Raw genomic sequence first — 22,135 nt, 5'->3', positions numbered from 1 at the left:
TGTAGAGCAGCGGTCCCCAACCTTTTTGGCACCAGGGACCGGTTTCGTGGAAGACAGTCTTTCCACGGATGGTGGGGGATGGTTTGGGGATGAAACTGTTCCACCTCAGCTCATCAGGCAGTAGTTAGATTCTCATAAGGAGCACGCAACCTAGATTCCTTGCATGCACAGTTCACAATAAGGTTCGTGCTCCTATGAGAATCTAATGCCACTGCTGATCTGACAGGAGGCGGAGCTTAGGTGGTAATGCTTGCTTGCCTGCTGCCCACCTCCTGCTGTGTGGACCAATTCCTAATAGGCCATGGACCAGTACCAGTCCGTGTCCTGGGGGTTGGGAACCCCTGCTGTAGAGGGTCAGGGTAGTGGAGCTAATACAAGGTAAGGCCCAGGAGCCTCGTGCAGCATCAATAAATGCGACCTATATAGTGAGAAGGGGGGGTCCTGTATCAGGTGAGGCCATAGGTGCCTGTATAGGCTGAGGTCAGGGCTTAAAGTAAATGGTCAAGACAGGCATTCCTGCCATAAGGTCAGGAAGTGGTTTTCTATACAAGTTAAAGACTGAGGTTCATGTTGAGAGTTGGATCATGGGTTCCTGTGGACTCTATGGGATAGGGTGTGAGGTCATGGATTGTTGTGCAGGGCAACATCAGGGATCATTGTCAACAATGAAGGCAAGAGGTTCCACACACAGTCAGGGTCCTTGAAGAGGTTGAGGACAGGGATTTCTGTAAAGACAGAGCTGGGTCCATGGTTTACTACTCAGATTATTGTGAGTGAGGTGTTTTTAAAATGCTACCTGGAGGACAGGACTGCAGCAGTGTGAGTACAAAGGTGTTCCTGTCTGAGGTCAAGACAGGATTCGTATAGGGAGACTGAGGCTTGTGTGGATGGTCAGGACAAGGGTTCCTGTCCAGGGTGTGCAGGGGCTTCCTTACAGCTTAGTCCAGATGTCCCTAGCTGGGGTTAGGCAGAGGTTCCTCCTATTCAGGGTAAGCGCTGGCATTCCTGTACAGGATCAGGATGGGTTTCCTGTCGATAATTAGATGAAGGGCTCCCCTAGAGCTTCAGAGCTAGTCTTCTGTACCAGGCTGGGGGAGCTATACTTATGGGGGTGAGGCCCGGGGCTCCTGAACAAGGTGGGGCCAGACATGTGTCCAGCACAGGTTCTGAAGGGGGTTTTTAGAGGATGGGGCCTCCTGCAGGGTGTGAGGGCTGGGCTTCTGAGGGGAGGCCAGACACGTGTCTTTTATGGGATCAGGGCTGTTGTGGACAATGCCCACAGTGAGCATAATAGACTCCTGTGATTCTGCAGCAGGCTACTTAGTGGAGCTGGAATGCCCGCTAGCTGATGGGCTGGTGTTCTGTGGAGGACAGCTGCTTACCTATAATATGGTCAGGACCTGTGGGTCCCTGCAACCCCCATATCCGGGGCTCTAGGGAAGAAGCCATAAAGAGCGGTTAAGTGTGAGCAGCACTTATTTGCTGGGCTGGGTGTGTCACCCCATCCAAAATCCACTCCTTAAACTTGGTGGTCAGGGTAAGTTACTCATCAGTTCTGGGCCTCACTCTTCCATTAGTGAAATGAGTATGGGTATATTTTCCTCAGAATATTTATTTCAGGCACTAATGAACTAAAGCAACTGGAGCCTCCCAGCCTGCCGCCTGACCCACAGTGAGCCCTTAGGAAAGGGTGCTGCTGGCTGTGGGGTGTGGCTGAGCACATGGACACCAGGCCAGACTGCCCCGCTGGGCCCCTTGCCACTGGCTGTGTGGCCTCCATTGAGCCACTTAAGCAGTCTGCCTTAGGATGCTTAAGGCATGACTCAGATTATGCTCCTGTGTGTTTGTGAAATTGAGGAACAGACTCCGCTGTGGGGGGAGCAGTTCACCCAGGTGAGTGGGAATGTTGGGGAAGGGGTTGGCACTGTGTGGAGCGCCCCACCTACTGAGGTTGAAACCACCTCCAGGGGCTGCTTTGTCCCCCTAATCTCCCCCTCTCATTCTCTACCATTTCCCACAGGGCTGCAGGCTGAGCTGGGCTGAGCAAGATAAGACCAGTCCGACAGGAAGACCCACGGACAACCCTGCGCCCCAGCACTGGCCTCTGACCTTGCCAGCTACCATTCCAGCTCCACCCTTCTCCGTGTTCCTTTCCTGAATGTGTCTTTTGTCCCTTGGAAGAGAGTCCCTAACTTATACCCTCTGAAACTCTGCTGTTGAGACCTCCACAAACAAATGTACACAGAGCTGCTCATGTTGTCAGCCACTCAGAGACACTGTGACATGGCACATGCCACACGTAATGCACACACACGCACACCCATGCCCATGCACAGGGACTTGCACTGAAATATTGCCATCGCCAGACCCACAAACACATCCTGACACACACTTCTTGTTCAACATTCCAAGAATCTTTACCAGATTCTGTGCCCACCACGTATGCTGTCATGCTGTCTAAAAGGTCCCCCAGCGTCATGCCGTCTCAAAGGTCCCCCAGCGTCATGCCCAGCCACAAGACCACAGCCCCGCACACCTCCTTATCACCTGCTCCAGCACACACACTTCCAGTGTGCTTATAGTCACCCGGCACCACCCCCACCGTCAGCAAGCCCTGCGTGGCCTCTTACCATGACATATGGAACCACCTGGACACTTCACAAGAAGTTTCACATAGATTGTTCCAATCACACAACATAACCCTTGGTCACAAAGTGTCACATGTGCCGCCTCAGCCAGCCTCACATGGTCACACATTGCAGCCATGCACTGTCATCAGAGAGCCACAGGCATTGTTACACACTCCACTCAGCTCTGCTGTTCAGCCACACATAGACACACCCACAATTTCAGGACTTTGGTGGTTTTATTTTACAAAAGCTTTGAAGGTTCAAGCCAGGGGGTGCCTGGGGCCCAGAGACTTGGGTTGTCCAGAATTCTGGCTACAAGAGGAGAAGGACACCACCCCTCCTCTGGAGGCCATGCTCTGTGCCCTCATGAGCTGAGCGGAGCCACCACAGTAGTGCTGGTGGTGGGGGGCATGGGGCCTGTGGGGAAGGAGCCCGTGGGTGAGCCCAGTAGGGGTCCAGGGAAAGGCATGAGGTGGCTAACAGGCCCTGACAGCACCACAGGGCCCAGGCCTTGGTAGAGATGGGCAGTACCTGGGGGGCCCAGTGTCAGGCCTGAAGCCACCTCCCCACAATTCCCGCTACCGCTGCCCCCAGCCACCACCATAAAGCCACCAGCTGGTCCTTCGGCTGCTCCTGTGCCTCCCAGACTGGAGCCCCGTTTCTTTTTCCCTTTTCCAGATGCCTTGCGGTTTCGAGTCTGAATACCATCCTTCCGCATGGTCAGTGGCCGGTTCACCTGCCAAAAAGGAGGCTGCGGGTGTCCCCAACTCCAGACCTTTGCCTCTCTGTGTCAACCAGGGACACCCTCTCTACCCCACTTCTTTCAGGGTAAGATAATTTTTGGGTGCTGAGATTGTCCAAGGAATCCTGAGGCTGTGAGGCCCTGAGCTTAGGAAAGCCTCCAAGGCTGATAGGAGCTGCCCAAGGTCTAGGGCAGGGGGTTGGACATTAGCTGATGCCTGGAGGTGGGGGAGAGGAGAGGAAGGAGGAGGGCGGAGGAGGAGGGAATGGAGAAGGAAGGAGGGAGGGTAATAACAGAGAAGGGGGAAAGTAGAAGAGATGGAGGAAGGGGGAAAGTAGAAGAGATGGGGGAAGGGGGAGGAAGGAGGGAAAGGGGAAAGAGGAAAGAGGGTTGTGGGGGAAGAGAGAGGTAGAACAGGAACAGAGTGGGGGGCAGTGTGGCATGAAGACAGGGAAAGCAGAGGGGTGGCTCCAAGGGGCAGGGCGTCACCTGGTGTAGCTTGTAGTAGAGGCCGCAGGCATTGCACACGGGATCCCCACTGGCATTTCTCCGCCACAGTGTCGTGGTGGTCGTCTGGCAGTTGGTGCACTGAGTACCTGCCCGTTTACTGACAATCTAGGGGACGACAGGATGTGAGATCAGTGCCCTGGGGATGTGGAAGTGGGGGTAAGGGGCTCACAGGGGATGTCAGGAGGACCCAAGAAGTGAGGGTCAGGTTGAAGGCAGGGCTTTGTTTACAGGGTGATGCCTGAGGATTCTGTATGGGGCCAGTACAGGGGTTCCTATCTGGTATAAGTTTCTTTTGTTCTGTATTCTATGGGGGACTACATTGGTGGTTCTCAGCTTTGGCTGCGTATCGGAATCACTTGGGGAGCTAAAATATCCTGATGCCCAAGCAGCATCCCAGTCCAATTCCATCAGCACATCTGGGAGAAGGGACCTGGGGTGATTCCAGTGTGAAGCCAAGGACGAAAACACTGGTGTGCAGGGTGAGGACAAAGGTTTCTGTTTGAAGCTTATAAGGGTAGGTTGAGGATAGGAGCTTCTATAGATCTGGGTTCCTGTACAAGGAAAGGGCAGGAGTTCTCATGCAGGGTGAGGGCAAGGATTTCCATATGGGATGAGGAGATTTTCCTGTGTAGGATGAAGGCAAGGGTTTCCATGTGATATTGGGACAGGGGTTCCCATACAGGGTGGCCTGCAGTAGCTTCCTGTAATCATGAGAACAGCGTTCCTATATAATGGGAAGATGTGGCTTCTTGTACAGGGTGAGGACAGGGGTTCCTGTGTATAAGGTGAAGCAGGTCTGTGGTCTTACCAGGCGCTTCTTGGGCCGGATGAGGGGCCTGTTCTGCCCATTCATCTTGTGATAGAGGCCGCAGGCGTTGCATAGGTAGTGGCCTGTCCTGTCCCTCCGCCACAGTGGAGTGGCTGTTGCTCCGCAGTTCACACACTCCCTGGCCTCTGGTGGGGTGGAGAGGAGAAGAGGGAGCTAGGCTCAGCTCAGCTTTACTTTGGGCCACCCCTCCCACCTCAACTTCCCTGTCCTTTTTTGAATTTCTCACCACAGGGAGGCAGGGGGAGAGTTCCACGAAGCTTGGGAGAGGAATAGGCTGCTGAATTGAGGGGGCTCCCGGTGGGAGAAAAGAAGGTACTGGAAAAGTCAGGGCCCCCATAAGCACTATTGGGGACAGGGAGTGATGAAGGCAGTGCAGGTCCCAGGGTCAGGAGGTCTGGGCTCAGCCGCTCTGTCTTCAAAGTCTCCAGGAAGCTGGTGCTGCCTTTTCCATCCAGATCTTCCACGGCCTGGGGAGGAGAGTCCTCGCGGGTGGGACACACAGTTGAGGCAGGGTAGAGCCCCGTCTTGCCGTAGGCCCAGCCGGCATATGGTGAGCCCCCTGGGATCCCCTCCATACAGTTGAGCAATGGGTACACCTGAAAGACTGTTGGGGGCAGGTAGGGATGGAGGAAAGAAGAGGCAAAATCAGTCTAGGGTCAGCGCACGTCAGGGTGCAGTGGTTCCCAGCACCCCCAACATGGTGGCCAAGTTCCCAGCTTTTCCACAGGCTACCAGAACAGCTGCTGGCCATTGGATGCTTCCTGGATCCTGACCCCCACTGGTCAGTGTGGCCTCTGCAATAACCTCTGACCATTTCCAAGTGGGTTTTTGAGGATGACTGTTGGGATTTGGAGCTCCACGGATCACTCGACAACTAGGGCAACCACCACATACTTCCAGTATTGCCTCTCAGTGTGGCCGCCCCAATATGGCAGGTTGAGGAGCATTGGAATTCCCAGGTCTGCACTTAACTAGGGAAAGTGGTCGGCACATCCATTTGAGAAGCTTCCAGCCATTTCTGAGATATCCTCACAGTGGTATTCTGACCTAGCCAAGGATCTCCATGGCAACCCCAACAGCACTCAGCCAATGCCAAGACAGCCACTCAATGGAGTTACCTGGGGAGTGTCTGTAGGCCTCAGCGTCCCTGTAGTAGGCCAGTGCCGCAGCTGCAGCGGTGGCTGTGCTCGGGGCAGTGGAGGAAGCTGCTGCATCCAAGCCCTCAGGCCCAGAGGGGAAGAAAACCCCTGATTCTGGTGTGGAGGACACCAGAGCAGGATCCACAAACTGGGGGAGGGGCTCTGAGGTCCCCAGGGACCCCAGGCCAGGGAACTCCATGGAGCCTCTGGGGATTAACCTGCGAGGACAGAAGGGGTCCTCAGACACAGAAATCCTTCCCCCCCACCTCCTTTCACCTGCTCCTCTTCCCTCCTTTCCCCCTCCTCCCACTCCATCACCTCAGTCTCCATATTTCTCCTTCCCACCTCCCCATTCCCCCCTCCTCCTCACCTTAGTCTCCCCTCTCCTTCCCCTCCTTCTCTTCCTCCCTCTCCTCTCTTTTCCCTCCTGCATCTCCCCGTTCCACTCCTGTGTGCCCCTCCTTTCATCTTCCTCCTCGTTCTCCCCCTCTTGCCGTTTGTCTTTCCTCTCCTCCCTCCTCTCGCTCTTCCTCCACTCTCATCTGCTTCTACCTCTCCCTTCTTCCTTCCATTCTCTCTCTTCTTCCCCCCTTCCCTTTTCCTCCTGTCTTTCTCCCGTCTCTCTTCTTCCCATCTCTTCTTTGCCCCCCTCTTCCCCATTTCCTTCTCTTTCCACTCTTTTCTCATTCTCTCCTGCTTCCTTTTTCTCCTCCACCTTCTTCTTTTCCTCCTTGACCTCCTCCTTCTCCTTTCCTGTTTCCCCTCTTCCTTGTCCTCCTTCTCTTTTTGTCTTCATTCTCCTTTTCTACCTTTCTCACACACCTTATCTCCCTCTCCCCCATCCACACACACTTTTTTTTGAGGCAGGGTCTCCTCTGTTGCCAGGCTGGAGTGCAGTGGCACGATCTCGGCTCACTGCAACCACTGCCTCCCGGCAGTGATCCTCCTGCCTCAGCCTCCTGAGTAGCTGGGACTACAGGTGTGTGCCACCAGGCCTGGCTAGTTTTTGTTTTTTTTTTGTAGAAATGGGGTATGACTCTGTTGCCCAGGCTGGTCTTGAACTCCTGGCCTCAAGTGATCCTCCCACCTCAGCCTCCCAAAGTACTGGGATTACAGGTGTGAGCCACCACTTCCGGCCTCTCTTCCCCTGTCTACATCTACTCTCCACTCCTTTCTCCTACTACTCATTTTCTCCTCCCCTCCAATTTCTTCATCCTTCTCCTCCCTTTTCTGTTCATCCTTTTCTCCCTTTCCCCATCTCCTCTCCTCCCCTCCTCCACTTCCTCTTATTCTCCCCGTCCCCCCGTCCTTTCTTCCCTCCCCCTCTAGAAGAGTCTGGGTGAGGGTGGGATGGCATGCAGGACCAGAGTCCCTTGCCTCTTGGTCACTTCACCCAGGACTTTGGGGTTCACCATCCTCTGCTCCCCAACTTCATCCCTATCTGTTGTATCTTGCCCTCTAACTTTCTCAGAAACCCCATGGTTTCCGGGCTTGACTCCCTCCTCCCTCCACCTCTGTTGCGTCTACAGACAGAAGGCCCCCTTAGTTCCTCCCTACTTCTTGGTTGGGGGGGGGTCAGTACCCCCCACTGCTTATCTCTGCCTTCCCCGCCCAACTTTTGAAATCACCCCAAGGCCACTGACTTCCTCTGAAGAGGGTGGCAGGTGGGAGGTACCTCTACCGGTACCCTCTCCCCTGGAGAGGCCCACCAGAGTTCTGCTTTCAGGCTCTTTCAGTTCCCAGGCCTCAGTTTCCCCATCTGCTGTATTGGGGGTGGTGATGGGCTGGGGCTGAGCTGAGACCTGTGGGATGGCCCTTTGCCTGTTTTGCCTTGTGTGTGTCTGTCATCTAGCTCTCCACTTCTCTATCCCCTGGGGCTCTTTCCCCTGACTCTCTGTTCCCTCTCAAGTCTGACTCTGTAGCTTCCCCAGCTTTCTGTGTTTCTATGATATAGCTTGTCTTCTCCTTCTGTGCTTTTTCTTTTTCTTTTTTTTTTTTTTTTGAGACGGAGTCTCACTCTGTCACCCAGGCTGGTGTGCAGTGGTGCGATCTCAGCTCACTGCAACCCCAGCCTCCCAGGTTCAAGTGATTCTCGTGCCTCAGCCTCCCTAGTAGCTGGGATTACAGGCACATGCCACCACACCCAGCTAATTTTTGTATTTTTAGTAAAGACGAGGTTTTGCCATGTTGGCCAGGCTGGTCTTGAACTCCTGACCTCAAGTGATCGGCCCACCTCGGCCTCCCACAGTGCTGAGGTTATAGGCGTGAGCCACTGCGCCCGACCTCTTTCTGTGCTTTTGTAATGTTTGATGATTTTCTGTCTTCTTTTCTGTCTTCCCATGTTTCTCTCTCTGGCTCTCTCTTTCTGTTACTCTTGCTTTCTCCCTCTCCTCTCCTATCTCTCTGAACATCTCTGCATCTCTCCCACTCTTCCTGCTTGTTTGTCTGTTCCCTCTGTTTCCCTCTCTTTGGGCCCTCTGACCTTATGTCCACGTGCCTCTTACTAGTCCCATACCCCTGACCGTACCCAGCCACATGCAGCTCAGGATAAGGAGCCTGGAATGCTGGCCCTGGCCCTATTGTGCTGGCCTGCTCTGTTTCTGTGTCTGTAGGGTGGAGTGACAGGGCTAGACTAGAAGGCTGTCTTCAAACTGCCCCTCACTCCTGCTTACATGACCCATGGTATAGACAGGCTAAGGGGCAGGCCCAGGCTTGGGAGTTATGCTAGGAAAGAGATGGGCCACAAGTGTGCCCACCGCCAACACCTTCTCAGCCCCAGGGTGCCTGCTGTTGCTCTCTGAAGAGAGTGTTTTGCTTCCCCATCTTGGTCTCCATCTCTTTCCTCTCTGTCTCTAATTCTGTGTTAGTCTCTGCCTCTTCACAGTGCTACCTGCGTGTATCTCTGCATTTCTATCTCCTTTTCTGCTCCCGGGTCTTTCCTTCTTTTTCTCCGGCCATCTGTCTGTCTCTGTCTCTTACTCGTTGAGTTTCTCTCTCTCTGTTTTTCCTTTCTCTTCATGTCTCTTTTGTCTCTTGCTCTTTGTCTCTGTGTCTCTGTCTCTCTCTTCCCATCTCTCCCTGTTTCTCCCTCTCTTCCCTGTCTCATTGTGTGTCTTCTGCTCACTCTTTCACCACTATTCCCTCATCCCCTCAACTCCACCTTACCCACCATGATCTCCCTCCAGCCCCACTGCCCCCAACCCCTGCACCTCACACGTTGGTGAGTCCAGGGCTGCCCACCCCTCCCATGGCAGGGGCCCAGCCTCCTCACCCCCAGTTATCACTCTCCGGACAGAGATAAAGTTTATCTCGAGGCTGGGGGATATGAAAGCTCCTTATCAGCTGCCCCACTAGAGTAAGTGTTGCCCCAACGGCGGCAGCAGGCAGCAGCTGGCACCCTCCACTCTCCCTCGGCCCCAGCCCCTCACCCCAGGTAACGTTCCAATCCCAGCCCTCAAGGGAGGGTCTCACCGGGCTGAAGGGAGCAGATATAAGGTCTAGGGGGCAGATATGGGGCTTAGGGGGAGATAGAGGTGGAATTTGAAGGTCAGATATGGGGTTAAGTCAGAGAGGTTTGGGGTGTAGCCATGGAGTTTGTGGGGAGGCAGATATGGGCGGGGTTGTGGAGCAGAGACGAGCTTGGAAGTTCAGAGACACATTTTGGGCTCAGGAATAGGTTGTGAAAACAGACGAGGTTGGGGGATCGGGGCGAAGTTTGAGAGTCAGAAATAAAGTTGAGAAGTAGTGTGGGAGTCAGATTCTGAGGGTCATAGAAAAGTCTGGGGAGTTCAAGGGTTTTTCTGGAGGAGAGATGGAGTTTAGGAGTCAAAGATCTGTTTGGGCAGACAGAATGTGGCTAGTAAAGGGGAGTTTGAGAAGCCAAGATAGAATTGGAGTAGAGAAAGGCTTGGAGCTGGAGAGATTCAGGGAGACAATGAGATGTGTTTTAGGGCTGAGATACGGTTTGGGGAAGGCAGACATGAGGGTTCATGCGGCAGAACAGATTTTGGGGAGTTGACTTGGTGTTTGAAGTGACAAAGATATTTTACTGAGCAGGCAGGGAGTTGGGAGAGATAAATGGTTTGCGGAGATCAGAGAGAAGTCATTGGGAACAAAGAGTGGGTTTGAAAGGCAGAGATGGTGGTAAGAGGATGGAGCTAGGGTTTGGCAGATCAGAGACAGGTTTGGGGGCTCAGAGAGAGTGGGGCAAAGACAAGGCGTTGTAGAGCAGATAAGGGGTTTGGGAGCAGAAAAGTGAGGTTTGGAGGAGAAGTCAGGGAGACAGAGACAAGTTTGGGTGAGTGGAAATCAGATATGGGACAGGGAAAGGATTTGGGGAGATAAAGTCATGTTTTGGGAGACAGAGTTAGTGTTTAGGGGAGACAGACCTAGGGGTATAGCGAGCAAAGTGAAGGGATCCAGAGGATATAGATATCTTGGACGGAGTGGATGAGAGGGCAGAAAGAGGTGGGGTTTAGGGGGTAGATTTGGGGTAGAAATGGGAGTTGGAAAGACAGGTGGGTTGGAGGAGCTGTAAAGGGATTCAGGGCTGGCTGACACTTTGGGGACCAGCTGTGGGTTGGGGAGCCTGGAGCAAGCATAAGGGTAGGGGCAGCAGGCCCAGGGTTGCCTTGGTGGGGGCTCTCTGGGGGCTGAGACTGACCTGGGCTGGTGGTTGCGGAGGGTTCGGCCGCCTTGGGGATGTGGCAAGCTCAGTGTGATCCCAGGGGGTGTCCTGGCTGGCCTTGGCCTTTGAGGCTCCCTTCCTCCCTCCCTCCCTCCCTCCCTTCTCCCTCCTCCCTCCTCCCCAGGGAGTGGCTGGTGCCCCAGTGGGTGGGGCAGTCCAGGGGAGGGGGCGGGTCCCATGCTTGTGGGGCACCTCTTGGGCACTGGAGGCCCTCTTCCACCCTCCCTGCCCACCCTGGGGATTCTTGGACCTCGCTCGACCTAGGCTCCCGTGGACTGTAGTGTCCAGACAAGCAAAATAGGCTGAAACCAAGATAAATGAAAATAGCAGATATGGTTTCATGACTTCACTGGGCTTTTCAGAGAGTAAAGCCCTTAATTTGTGCGGGGCCGGTGTGGGCTAGACTCCTGTGTATGTGCGTCTTCCTGGCTGCAGGGAGAGAAGGGATGTGGCTGTACCCATTTTGCAGGTGAGAAGAGTGAGGCTCAGAGAGGTTCTGCTGGATTTGAACTAGAGCCTGTGGGATACCTTGATGACCCAGGCTAAGCCTGCAGGCCAGGCCAGTGCTGGCGGGAGGCAGGGGCACACTCACTTAGCGCCCCACTGGGGCTTACGCCAGCTCCGGCCTGCCCTGGGGCAGCAGATAAGTCTTATCAGATGTAGGCGACCGTGGCTGTTGGCGCCGCAGTAACAGGCTGTCTTGGGGTGAGGGTGTGGGGGTAGGAACACCCAGGGACAGTGGCCTCAACTTCTTGCCCGCCATGCTGCCTTGGAGGCGGGAAACTGAGGTGGGAGCCAGGGATGATTCCTCGAGGAGTGGTATAGGGTAGGAAAGGAAAGGGGTGGAGTGGGAGAGACAGAGGCAGAGAGACAAACAAAAACAGAGATAGGCGGAGAGAGATGGAAATGGGGAGAAAGAGAGTGACAGAGATGAATAGAGAAGGAGACAGACGTGGAAAGAGGCAGAGAGAGGGCACAAAAGAAAAGGAGAGACAAAGAGGGCGAGACACCCGGGGAGAACCAGAGACCATTAAAGACATATAGAGAGAGGCAAAGAGAGAATGAGAGACAGAGATGGACAGAAGTGACAGATAAAACCTGAAAGGGAAAGAGGCCAAAGACAGAAGTGGAGAACTGAGAAGGGAGACAGAGACAGAGGGATATTCAGAGACAGACTCAGAAGAAGGTCCAGGCAGACTGGATCACACCCTGGGCATGTGGTGCCCATGCAGGTAGGATGGGAGGATGTGGATTGATGTAGCCTGTGGCTCTGCCCTCAGCCCTCAGCAGGGGACAACCAGAATGTGGCTAGGCCTCCGCACCCCAGTCCCCACACTCTTGCCCTGCCCCACCTCCTCCAAATATTAATGACAACAACCACAGTGTCTCATAGACCTCACATAGACTTGTACCTAACCTGAGCACTTTTTCTATATGAAAGCATCTGACACACATGCACACGTGGGACAAGGAGCTGTCCTGCCCACCTAGTCTACAGATGGGGAGACTGAGACCTACAAAGGGCAGAGGCCAAGGGTGGAGCCCCAGGTCAGTGGGGTCAGCTTGCCCACTGGCCCACCCTGGAGGGATCTTACCATTCTTATCTCACTCCTCTGAGCCTCAGTGTCCTCATATGCAATGGGAGATTTGAGGAGGAAAGAGAGCAAGCCCATGAATTCCTATTTATTGAGCTCCTGCTGGTGTGCCACGCCCCATGCTGAACCCTCATCAGTAATAAGGAGAACGAATACAAAGACACCTCTGACTTAAGTGGCAGTGGTTTCAGGAGATGGTCTCTAGAGCCAGCTCATCCTCGTTCATAGACTGCCCTAACCACTAATGGATCAGGTGACCTTGGGAGAGTTACCATCCCCTCTGGAATTTAGCTCCTCATCTGTAAAAATGGGGTAATAATATACCCCAATAAGCCACTCCATGCAGTGACTGGGGAGACTAAATGAGTTTTAACCCATGTTACATGATCTTAACTTACTTGAATCTGAAATCTCAATAAATATTAAGTACCCCTATTTATTTATTGAGTACCTACTGCATACAAGGGAGAGTACATAGCCCTTTCTAACCCTACTACTACTTATAGTACTAATGCTAATAATATGCTGACACTAAGAGTAATACCAATATTGTAATATTGATACTGACACTAAAACTAATTTTATTTCTTTAAATTTATGATTGACACATAATAGTTGTACATATATATGGGGTAAAACATGATGTTTTGTTACATGTATACATTGTGTAGTGATCAAATCAAGGTAATTAGCATATTCATCACCTTAAACATTTATCTTTTCTTTGTGATGAGAACATTCGAGAACGCCTCTTTCAGCTATTTTGAAATATACATTTATTGTTGACTCTAGTCATTGTACTATGCATTAGAACACCAGAACTTATGCCTCCTATCTAACTGTAGCTTTGTACCCATTGACAGCCTCTCCCCATCCCTCCCTGCCTCCTACCCTCCCATCTGCTGGTAACCACTATTCTACTCTCTACTTCTATGAGGACATACTAATTTTCATAGTAATACTCATCTAATGCTAATACTAATTTTAATCTAACACTAATACTATTATTAATACTAACACTAATTCTAAAACTATTCTAATTCTAACAACAATAGTGATAATGATACGTACTAAATATTTTTTGGGGACAGTGTCTCACTATGTCACTCAGGCTGGAGTGCAGTGACAATCTTGGCTCACTGCAGCCTCCACCTCCTGGGCTCAAGTGATCCTCCCACCTCAACCTCCTGAGGAGCTGGGACTTCAGGTGCATGCCACCACACCCAGCAAAAAATTTTTTTTCAATAGAGATGAAGTCTCGCTATGTTGCCGAGGCTTGTTTAATTCTGATATTAATAATAGCATTAATAGACTAATAATAACAGCAGCGGCATTATTTGCTGAGTGACCCCAGGCACTGTGCTAAGCGCTCTCCACCCATAATTCTATCGCATTCTCACCAGCTCCTTGTGGTGCAAGTGTGTATAATTGCCCTCACCTCCAGACTGGTTCTACATAGGTGTGTGGAAATGAAGATGTTCCTCCAGGGCCCTGGGTTCTTGTCTCAACTCTGATTTGCTGTGTGATTTGCTGTGTGATTCCTGGGCCAGACGCCCTCTGAGCCTCAGTTTCTTCATCTGGAAAACGGGTAAAGTCCTAGCCCCCCACGTGGGTAGGAACCACTCAGCACAGGGCCTGCTGGCACACCATAAATGGTGTGCTCTGTAAATGGGAATTATCATCATCATTATTATTATTAGAAGCAGCGGTCGCAACATAGGGAAATCTGTCCTCACAGGGAATGGCAGGCTCGAGGCATGTCTAAGAGCTAAGACAAGGGTTTGGCCGCTGGACTCACCCCATTTCTTCATTTCTGGAGAGCACAGAGCGCTCAGGAAGAGAAGCCAAGGGTGAGGAGTAGGGCGCCCCAGAGCCCTGCCTCCAGCAAGAGCTGGAAACCCCGAGGCTGTGAGGCCAGGCCTCACCCCATTCCCTCCCCCATCCCCGTGGAGGGGGCGCAGGCTCAGAAGTCTGCGGCGACAGTTCAGCCAGCAAGGAGGCAGCTGGGAGTGGGCAGATAAGGGAATCAGTGGGGCCAGATCAGGCTTTGGGGGAGACGAGGGCGGGGGTGGGGTGTCCTGGCCGCGCGTCTTCTCCGTCAGGCCTAAGTTTGAGACTCTTCTTCAATGTCCTCTCTTCTCGGAAGCCTTCCCTGACTGGCTCACTCCCTCCTGGCATCTTCTGGGGTTCTAGAGCCCCTGCTTGGTCCAGGCCCCATGGCATTTGTACTGTTTGTGCCTCTTCTGTACTGTGGAGCCCATCAGGGTGGGGACAGAGCCTGACAGACTGTGGTGTCAAAAGCACCAAGGCAAATGTCAACCAAAGCCTGGTTAAGGAGTCAAGCGTTTGCCCTCAGAAACAAACTGTTGGTTGACTGTTTTAAAAAATGGAAAGTATAAAGGGTGCTGTAACAAGCATCTACTTTTGTCAAACATTAATATTTTGCCTTATTGACTTCAGATTGTTTTTAAAGGATATGCGATATTACAGATGCTCTTGTACTGATTCCATTTCCCTCTCTCCTTCTACTGCCTTGAGCTTGGTGTTTATCTTCCTCATGAGTATTTTTACTCCATCACTCCATATGTTGGTACCCATAAACACCATATGATACCTGGGGTTTTTTTGGCCTGTTTTTGCACTTCATGGAAATGGAAGCACATCATACAGTATGTGCTGCTTTTGCTCAGCATAATGTCTGTGACATTCTTCCACATTGTCGTGTGTATCAATAGTTCATTCTTTTTTTTCTTTTTCTGTTTATTGAGACATAATTCACATACCATAAAATTTGCTCTTAACCATAAAATTCACTCTTAAAATGTATAGCAAAGCGATTAGTATATCACGAGGTTGTGTAACTATCCACTACCTAATTCCAGAACATTTTCATCACCCCCAAAAGGAACCCTATATCTATTAACATACACCCTCCCATTCCATTTCCCTCTCCTCCCATCCCCGGGCCATCACAAATCTCTTTGTCTCTATGAATTTGTCTGTTTTGGACATTTCATATAAATGCAGTCATATAATATGTGGCCTTTTGTAACTGCCTTCTTTTACTTCACATAAGTTTTTTAAGGTTCATTCATATTGTAGCATGTATCAGTACTTCATTCATTTTCATGACTGAATAATATTCCTTTGTATGAAAATACCTACTACATTATAGCTAGGATGCGGTGGCTCACACCTGTAATCTCAGCACTTTGGGAGGTTGAGGTGGGTGGATTGCTTGAGCCCAGGAGTTCGAGACCAGCCTGGGCAGCGTAGCAAGAACACGTGTCTACAAAAAAGAAAAATTAGCCGGGTGTGGTGGTGCATGCCTGTGGTCCCAGCTACTTGGGGGGCTCAGGTGGGAGGATCAGCAAGTTGAGGCTGCAGTGAGCCATGATTGCACCACTGCACTCCAGCCTGGGCAACAGAGTGAGACCCTGTCTCAAAAGATAAAAGGAAAAAGAAATGCCACATTATGCTTATCCATTCACCCATTGATGGACTCTTGGCTATCACAAATAATGCTGCTATGAACATTCATGTGAAAGTTTTTATGTGGACATATGTTTTTCGTTTTCTTGGGTATATAACTAGGAATGGAATTGCGGGGTGATATGGTAATTCTATGTTTAACTTTCTGAGGAACTGCAAGTGTTCTCCACAGCTGCCATATGGGGATTCAAATTTAAATTTAACCACATTCTCTCCAACACTCCTTTCTTTCTTTCTTTCTTTCTTTCTTTTCTTTTCTTTTCTTTTCTTTCTTCTTTCTTTCTTTCTTTCTTTCTTTCTTTCTTTCTTTCTTTCTTTCTTTCTCTCTCTCTCTCTCTCTCTCTTTCTTTCTTTCTTTCTTTTTTCTTTTTTTTCTTTTTTCTTTTGTTTGGCAGGGTCTCACTCTGTTCCCCAGGCTGGAGTACAGTGACATGATCTCTGCTCACTGCAGCCTCAACCTCCTGGGTTCAAGTGATCCTCCCACCTCAACCTCCTGAGTAGCCAGGACTACAGGTGCATGCCATCACACCCAGCTAAATTTTTGTTAATTTTTCGTAGAGATGGGATTTTCGCCACGTTGCCTACGCTAGTCTCAAACTACTGGGCTCAAGCAATCTGCCTGCCTTGGCCTTGCAAAGTGCTGGAATTACAGGCTACCATGCCTGGCCTCCAACACTTTTTATTGTCCCTCTTTTTGATTCTAGCCATCCTACTGGGTGTGGGTGTGAAGTGGTGTCTTGTTATGGTTTTGATTTGCATTTCCCTGTGACCACTGATGTTGAGCATATTTTCATAAACTTGTTGGTCATCTATCTTCTTTTTTTTTTTTTTTTTTTTTTTGAGATGTAGTCTTGCTCTGTCACCCAGGCTGGAGTGCAGTGGCACGATCTTGGCTCACTGCAGCCTCCACCTGCTGGGTTCAAGTGATTATCCTGCCTCAGTCTCCTGAGTAGCTGGGATTACAGGCACCCGCCACCATGCCTGGCTAATTTTTGTATTATTAGGAGAGATGGGGTTTCACTATGTTGGCCAGGCCAGTCTCGAACTCCTGACCACAAGTGATCCATCCGCCTCAGTCTCCCAAAATGCTGGGATTACAGGCATGAGCCACCGTGCCCAGCCCATTTATCTTCTTTGGAGAAGTGTTTATTTAAATCCTTTGCCCATTTTGAATTGGGTTATTTGTCCTTTTATTGTTGAGTAGTAAGAGTTCTTTATGTATTCTGGATACTAGACTCTTTTTAGATATGTGATTTTCAAATATTGTCTTCTGTAGGTTGTCTTTTCACTTTTTTTTTTTTTGAGACAGGTTCTCACTTTGTCACCCAGGCTGCAGTGCAGTGGGGGTGAACGTGGCTCACCGAGGCCTTGACCCCCCAGGCTCAAGTGATCCTCCTGCCTCAGTCCCCCAAGTAGCTGGGACTACAGTTGCATGCCACCGTTCCTGGCTAATTTTTGTATTTTTTGCAGAGATGGGGTTTCACCATGTTGCCTAGGCTGGTCTTGAGCTCCTGGGCTCAAGCAATCCACTCACCTCAGCCTCACAAAGTGGTGAGATTACAGGCGTGAGCCACTGCGTCCAGCCAGAAAGCTTATAGTTTTGATGAACTCCAGTGTGTCTATTTTTCTTTGGCTGCTTATGCTTTAGATGTCACGTCTAAGAAACCATTGCCTAATCCAAGGTCACAAAGACTTAAGCCTGTTTTCTTCTAAAGCAGCGGTCCCCAACTTTTTGGCACCAGGGACCAGTTTCATGGAAGACAATTTTTTTCCACAGAAGTGGGGATGTTTTCAGGATGATTCAAGCGCGTTACATTAGAGTCTCATAAGGAGTGCACAACCTAAATCCCTCGCATGCACAGTTCACAATAGGGTTTGAGCTCCTAAGAGAATCTAATGCTGCAGCTGATTTGACAGGAGGCGGGCTCAGCTTCATGAATGGCAGCAAGCCGCAGCTCACCTCCTGCTGTGTGGCCCAGTTTCTAAGAGACCACAGATGGGTTTGTGGCCTGGAGGTTGGGGACCCCCGTTCTAAAAGTTTTATCGTTTTAGCTCTTACATTTAGGTCTTTGATCTGTTTTGAGTTGTTTTTTGTATATGGTATGAGGAAGGGGTCCCACTTTATTCTTTTGCATGTGGATACTCAGCTGTCTCAGCACCATTTGTTGAAAGGAGCATTCTTTCCCCATTGAATGGTCTTGGTACACTTGTCAAAAATCAATTGCTAGCTGGACACAGTGGCTCACACCTGTAATCCCAGCATTTTGGGAGGCCAACGTGGGAGGATCACTTGAACCCAGGAGTTCAGCCTGTCCAACACATTGAGACCCTGTCTCTACAAAAAGTTTTTTAAAAATTAGCTGAGCACAGTGGTGCATGCCTGTAGTCCCAGCTACTTGGGAGGCTGATGTGGGAGTATCGCTTAGCCCAGGAGTTTGAGGCTGCAGTGAGCTATGTTTGTGACTGGGCAACAGAGCAAGTCCCTGTCTCAAAAAAATCAGTTGCCTATAATGTATGAATTTATTTCTGGACTTTCAATTCTATTTCGTTAATTTATATGTATGTTTTTATGCCAGTAGCACATGGTCTTGATTACTGTAGCTGTATAGTAAGTTTTTAAACTGGAAGGTGTGAGTCCTCTAACTTTGTTTTTCTTTTTCAAGATTGTTGTATTTTGGGCCCCTAGCACTCCCATGTGAATCAGCTTGTCAGTTCTGCAAAGAAGCAAGCTGGGATTCTGATAGGGATTGCATCAAGTCTGTAGATCAATTTGGGGAGTATTGCCATCTTAACACTATAAAGTCTTCCAATCCATGAACATGTGATGTCTTTCCATTTATTTAGGTCTTCTTTAAGTTCTTTCAATAATATTTTATGGTTTTCAGTGTATAAGTCTTACCCTTCTTTCATTCATTTTATTACTAAGTATTTTATTCATTTTGAAGCTATTGTAAATGGAATAGTTTTCTTAATTTCACTTTTGGATTGTTAATTGCTAGCATATATGATACAAAATCTTATATCCTGCAACCTTGCTCTAATGGTTATGCACTAATGGGGCTCTAATGGTTTCGTGGTGGATTCCTTAACATTTTCTATGTATAAGATCATGTCATCTGCATATAGGGATAGTTTTACTTCTTCCTTTCCAATATGGATACGTTTTATTTCTTTTTGTTGCCTAATGCCCCAGGTAGAGCATCCAATACAGTGTTGAAAAGACATGGTAAGAAGGGGCATCCTTGTGTTGTTCCTTTCCAACTTTCACCATTAAGTATGATCTTAGCTGTGGGTTTTTTGTGGATGTCCTTTATCAGGTTGAGGAAGTTCTCTTCTATTCCTAGTTTGTTGAGTGTTTTTATCATGAAGGAATGTTGAATTTTGTCAAATGTTTTTTCTGCATCTCCTGAAAAGATCATGTGGTGTTTGTTCTTTATTATGTTAATATGATGCATTATATTGATTGATTTTCATTAGTTGACCAAACCTTGCATTCTTGGGATAAATCCCACTTGGCCGTGGTGTATAATCCTTTTATATGTTGCTGGATTCTACTTACTTGTATTTTTTTGAGGATTTTTGCATCTATACTTAGATATTGGTCTGTAGTTTTTCTTGTGATATCTTTGTCTAGTTTTCTCATCAGAGTAATGCTGGCCTCATAAGTTCGTTCCCTTTTATTGAAAGTAATATTCCATGGAATGGATATACCACATTTTGTTTAACCACTAATCTGTTGATGAACATTTGCATTGTTTCTAGTTTCTTTCCCTATTATAGCAAATCTGCAATTCATAAACTCATATTCCTCTCTCTGTGCACACCTGTGAAGGAGTTTCTCGGGGGAGGAGGGAGGAAATATCAGAGCATCTACCCATTCATTCATCTACCTACCCACTCACCCATCCACCCATCTGTTCCTTCCTTCCTTCTTCTATTCCTTCATTTTCTCTTTCCTTTCATCCATAAATCATCCATCTTCAGGCATATAATGTCTGGGTCCATGGCAAATTGTCTTTTAGAATGAGGCAGAAAACCCCTTTCCTCTTTTTTTCCACTGCCAGAAAATGCTACAGGTTTTAGGAAAGCCTTTTACTTGCTAAAACTCATATCCTCACACTCCCTCTCTTCGCAGCACTCTTGGGGCTCCTTGGCGGTTCAGTCACAGGGTCTGGCTGAACTACCGTCTGAAGACTATTTAGCGACCAGAGTCCAGAAGACCAGGGGCTCCTTTACTTCAGGAGACTCTCACGCATGCTCCTCCATCCATCACTCCTTCACTCAGGAATCCACACACTTCCCTTCCCACTTGCCTGACTCATCTGTCTGTCCCTTCTCTTGTTTTAGAACCCAAAATGTCCTCAGGCCTCTTCTCTAGCTGACATCCTCTTTTTTGTTGAACTCATCCAGTCCCTATCTTCAAAATATCTCCAGAATCTAACCATTTTAAAAAAATCATCTCCATGCTTGCTTCGGCAGCACATATACTAAAATTGGAACGATACAGAGAAGATTAGCATGGCCCCTGCGCAAGGATGACATGCAAATTCGTGAAGCGTTCCATATTTTTTTGGCAAGGCATGTTGGTTTGCGTGTGGGAATCCCAAAGGAGACCCCAGCTCTCACGATTAATAGGCTCTGTGGTTCTGGTTTTCAGTCCACTGTGAATAGGTGTTAGGAAATTTGTGTTAAAGAAGCTGAAGTTGTTTTATGCGGAGGAACCAAAAGCATGAGCCAAGCTCCCTACTGTGTCAGAAATGTGTGTTTTGGAACCAAGCTTGGATCAGATATCAAGCTGGAAGATTCTTTATGGATAGGATTAACAGATCAGCATGTCCAGCTCCCCATGGCAATGACTGCAGAGAATCTTGCTGTAAAACATAAAATAAGCAGAGAAGAATGTGACAAATACGGCCTGCAGTCACAGCAGAGATGGAAAGCTGCTAATGATGCTGGCTACTTTAATGATGAAATGGCACCAATTGAAGTGAAGACAAAGAAAGGAAAACAGACAATGCAGGTAGATGAGCATGCTGGGCCCCAAACAACCCTGGAATAGTTACAGAAACTTCCTCCAGTATTCAAGAAAGATGGTACTGTCACTGCAGGGAATGCATCGGGGATAGCTGATGGTGCTGGAGCTGTTATCATAGCTAGTGAAGATGCTGTTAAGAACCATAATTTCACACCACTGGCAAGAATTGTGGGCTACTTTGTATCTGTATGTGATCCCTCTATCATGGGTATTGGTCCTGTCCTTGCTATCAGTGGGGCACTGAAGAAAGCAGGACTGAGTCTTAAGGACATGGATTTGGTAGAGGTGAATGAAGCTTTTGCTCCCCAGTACTTGGCTGTTGAGAAGAGTTTGGATCTTGACATAAGTAAAACCAATGTGAATGGAGGAGCCATTGCTTTGGGTCACCCACTGGGAGGATCTGGATTGGTTGATGAATTAAGGCGTCGAGGTGGAAAATATGCCGTTGGATCAGCTTGCATTGGAGGTGGCCAAGGTATTGCTGTCATCATTCAGAGCACAGCCTGAAGAGACCAGTGAGCTCACTGTGACCCACTCTTATTCTACTTGGCCAGGCCACAGTAAAACAAGTGACCTTCAGAGCAGCTGCCACAACTGGCCATGTCCTGCCATTGAAACAGTGATTGAGTTTGTTCAAGCCATGGTGATACAAAAATGCATTGATCATGAATAGGAGCCCATGCTAGAAGTACGGTCTCTCAGATTTGTACCAGTGAAATATGTATTTCTGAACTAAAACTCAACTATAGAAGACATTAAAAGAAATTGTATTCTTGCCAAGTAACCACCACTTCTGCCTTAGATAATATGGTTATAAGGAAATCAAATAAATGTTGCCTTAACTTCAAAAAAAAAATCATCTCCTGGCTGAGTGCGGTGGCTCACGCCTATAGTCCCAGCAGTTTGGGAGGTTGAGGCAGGAGGATTTTTTTTTTTTTTTTTTTGAGACAGAGTCTCCCTCTGTCACCCAGGCTGGAGTGCAGGGAAACGATCTCAGCTCACTGCAAGCTCCGCCTCCCGGGTTCACACCGTTCTCCTGCCTCAGCCTCCCAAGTAGCTGGGACTACAGGCGCCCGCCCCATGCCTGGCTAATTTTTTGTATTTTTAGTAGAGATGGGGTTTCACCGTGTTAGCCAGGATGGTGTTGATTTCCTGACCTCGTTATCTGCCCGTCTCAGCCTCCCAAAGTGCTGGGATTACAGGTGTGAGCCACCGCGCCTGGCAGGAGGATCTCTTGAGGCCAGGAGTTCGACACCAGCCTGAGCAACATAGCGAGACCCCGACTCTACCAAAAAAAACAAAAAACCCAAACAAATAAAAATCACTTCCCCTGTCCCTGCCATCACACTTGCGTGGACCACTGCAGGGGCCTCCCCCTCACTGGTCGCCTGTTTCCACCCTCGCCCTGACAGTCTATTTTCCGCAGTGGCCAGAGGGAGCCTGTTAAATCCTAAATCAGATCACATCCCTCCTCTG

The 22,135-nt window shown here is 49.3% G+C and overlaps 1 protein-coding gene and 2 pseudogenes across 1 annotated transcript, besides 10 other annotated features; 2 read left to right on the top strand and 1 right to left on the bottom strand.

The window, feature by feature from the left end:
• Nucleotides 1,841-2,341: a transcriptional cis regulatory region, noted in NCBI's record as "intergenic|chrX:48653225-48653725 region (GRCh37/hg19 assembly coordinates) targeted for CRISPR interference". NCBI's record gives its function as "negatively regulates PLP2 gene expression in K562 cells {active_cell/tissue: K562}" and the evidence as "EXISTENCE:mutant phenotype evidence [ECO:0000015][PMID:31784727]".
• Nucleotides 2,401-2,961: a transcriptional cis regulatory region, noted in NCBI's record as "genic|chrX:48652605-48653165 region (GRCh37/hg19 assembly coordinates) targeted for CRISPR interference". NCBI's record gives its function as "negatively regulates PQBP1 gene expression in K562 cells {active_cell/tissue: K562}" and the evidence as "EXISTENCE:mutant phenotype evidence [ECO:0000015][PMID:31784727]".
• GATA1 (GATA binding protein 1) lies at nucleotides 2,848-10,569 on the bottom strand. The gene is made up of 6 exons (NM_002049.4): nucleotides 10,514-10,569; nucleotides 5,830-6,068; nucleotides 4,938-5,315; nucleotides 4,691-4,836; nucleotides 3,862-3,987; nucleotides 2,848-3,366 (listed from the first exon to the last, which is right to left on the bottom strand). Exons 2-6 carry the CDS (start codon nucleotides 6,047-6,049, stop codon nucleotides 2,995-2,997), a joined length of 1,242 nt encoding a protein of 413 aa, NP_002040.1. The 5' UTR covers nucleotides 6,050-6,068; nucleotides 10,514-10,569; the 3' UTR covers nucleotides 2,848-2,994.
• Nucleotides 3,361-3,861: a transcriptional cis regulatory region, noted in NCBI's record as "genic|chrX:48651705-48652205 region (GRCh37/hg19 assembly coordinates) targeted for CRISPR interference". NCBI's record gives its function as "negatively regulates PLP2 gene expression in K562 cells {active_cell/tissue: K562}" and the evidence as "EXISTENCE:mutant phenotype evidence [ECO:0000015][PMID:31784727]".
• Nucleotides 7,182-7,762: a transcriptional cis regulatory region, noted in NCBI's record as "genic|chrX:48647805-48648385 region (GRCh37/hg19 assembly coordinates) targeted for CRISPR interference". NCBI's record gives its function as "negatively regulates PLP2 gene expression in K562 cells {active_cell/tissue: K562}" and the evidence as "EXISTENCE:mutant phenotype evidence [ECO:0000015][PMID:31784727]".
• Nucleotides 10,322-11,442: a transcriptional cis regulatory region, noted in NCBI's record as "promoter|chrX:48644125-48645245 region (GRCh37/hg19 assembly coordinates) targeted for CRISPR interference". NCBI's record gives its function as "negatively regulates HDAC6, PLP2 and PQBP1 gene expression in K562 cells {active_cell/tissue: K562}" and the evidence as "EXISTENCE:mutant phenotype evidence [ECO:0000015][PMID:31784727]".
• Nucleotides 11,882-12,542: a transcriptional cis regulatory region, noted in NCBI's record as "intergenic|chrX:48643025-48643685 region (GRCh37/hg19 assembly coordinates) targeted for CRISPR interference". NCBI's record gives its function as "positively regulates expression of GATA1 and negatively regulates expression of HDAC6 and PLP2 in K562 cells {active_cell/tissue: K562}" and the evidence as "EXISTENCE:mutant phenotype evidence [ECO:0000015][PMID:31784727]".
• Nucleotides 13,767-14,495: an enhancer, noted in NCBI's record as "fragment used in the e-GATA1 reporter construct". NCBI's record gives its function as "activates a MYC promoter by reporter assays in K562 erythroleukemia cells {active_cell/tissue: K562}" and the evidence as "EXISTENCE:reporter gene assay evidence [ECO:0000049][PMID:27708057]".
• Nucleotides 13,842-14,422: a transcriptional cis regulatory region, noted in NCBI's record as "candidate enhancer chrX.952 targeted for multiplex CRISPR interference". NCBI's record gives its function as "positively regulates expression of the GATA1 gene with high confidence and the CCDC22 gene with lower confidence in K562 erythroleukemia cells {active_cell/tissue: K562}" and the evidence as "EXISTENCE:mutant phenotype evidence [ECO:0000015][PMID:30612741]".
• Nucleotides 13,862-14,362: a transcriptional cis regulatory region, noted in NCBI's record as "intergenic|chrX:48641205-48641705 region (GRCh37/hg19 assembly coordinates) targeted for CRISPR interference". NCBI's record gives its function as "positively regulates expression of GATA1 and negatively regulates expression of PLP2 in K562 cells {active_cell/tissue: K562}" and the evidence as "EXISTENCE:mutant phenotype evidence [ECO:0000015][PMID:31784727]".
• Nucleotides 14,074-14,195: a transcriptional cis regulatory region, noted in NCBI's record as "e-GATA1 or chrX:48641372-48641493 region (GRCh37/hg19 assembly coordinates) targeted for CRISPR interference". NCBI's record gives its function as "positively regulates GATA1 and HDAC6 gene expression in K562 erythroleukemia cells {active_cell/tissue: K562}" and the evidence as "EXISTENCE:manual assertion [ECO:0000218][PMID:33828297]" and "EXISTENCE:mutant phenotype evidence [ECO:0000015][PMID:27708057]".
• RNU6-29P (RNA, U6 small nuclear 29, pseudogene) lies at nucleotides 20,089-20,193 on the top strand (annotated as a pseudogene).
• ACAA2P1 (ACAA2 pseudogene 1) lies at nucleotides 20,167-21,362 on the top strand (annotated as a pseudogene).

This window comes from Homo sapiens, chromosome X (genome assembly GCF_000001405.40).
Source record: "Homo sapiens chromosome X, GRCh38.p14 Primary Assembly".
In the NCBI taxonomy this organism is placed as follows: Eukaryota; Metazoa; Chordata; class Mammalia; order Primates; family Hominidae; genus Homo; species Homo sapiens.
This window is presented reverse-complemented; position numbering and strand designations above follow the sequence as displayed.

What these genes read in the sequence shown, in the direction of transcription:
- GATA1 (NM_002049.4), bottom strand. Translation starts at nt 6,049, where the DNA reads ATGGAGTTCCCTGGCCTGGGGTCCCTGGGGACCTCAGAGCCCCTCCCC. An exon ending in TCTCCCCCTGCCTCCCTGTG is followed by an intron (nt 4,837 to 4,937) that starts GTGAGAAATTCA and finishes CCACCCCACCAG; the next exon opens with AGGCCAGGGAGTGTGTGAAC. An exon ending in TCTACTACAAGCTACACCAG is followed by an intron (nt 3,367 to 3,861) that starts GTGACGCCCTGC and finishes CCTTTTTGGCAG; the next exon opens with GTGAACCGGCCACTGACCAT.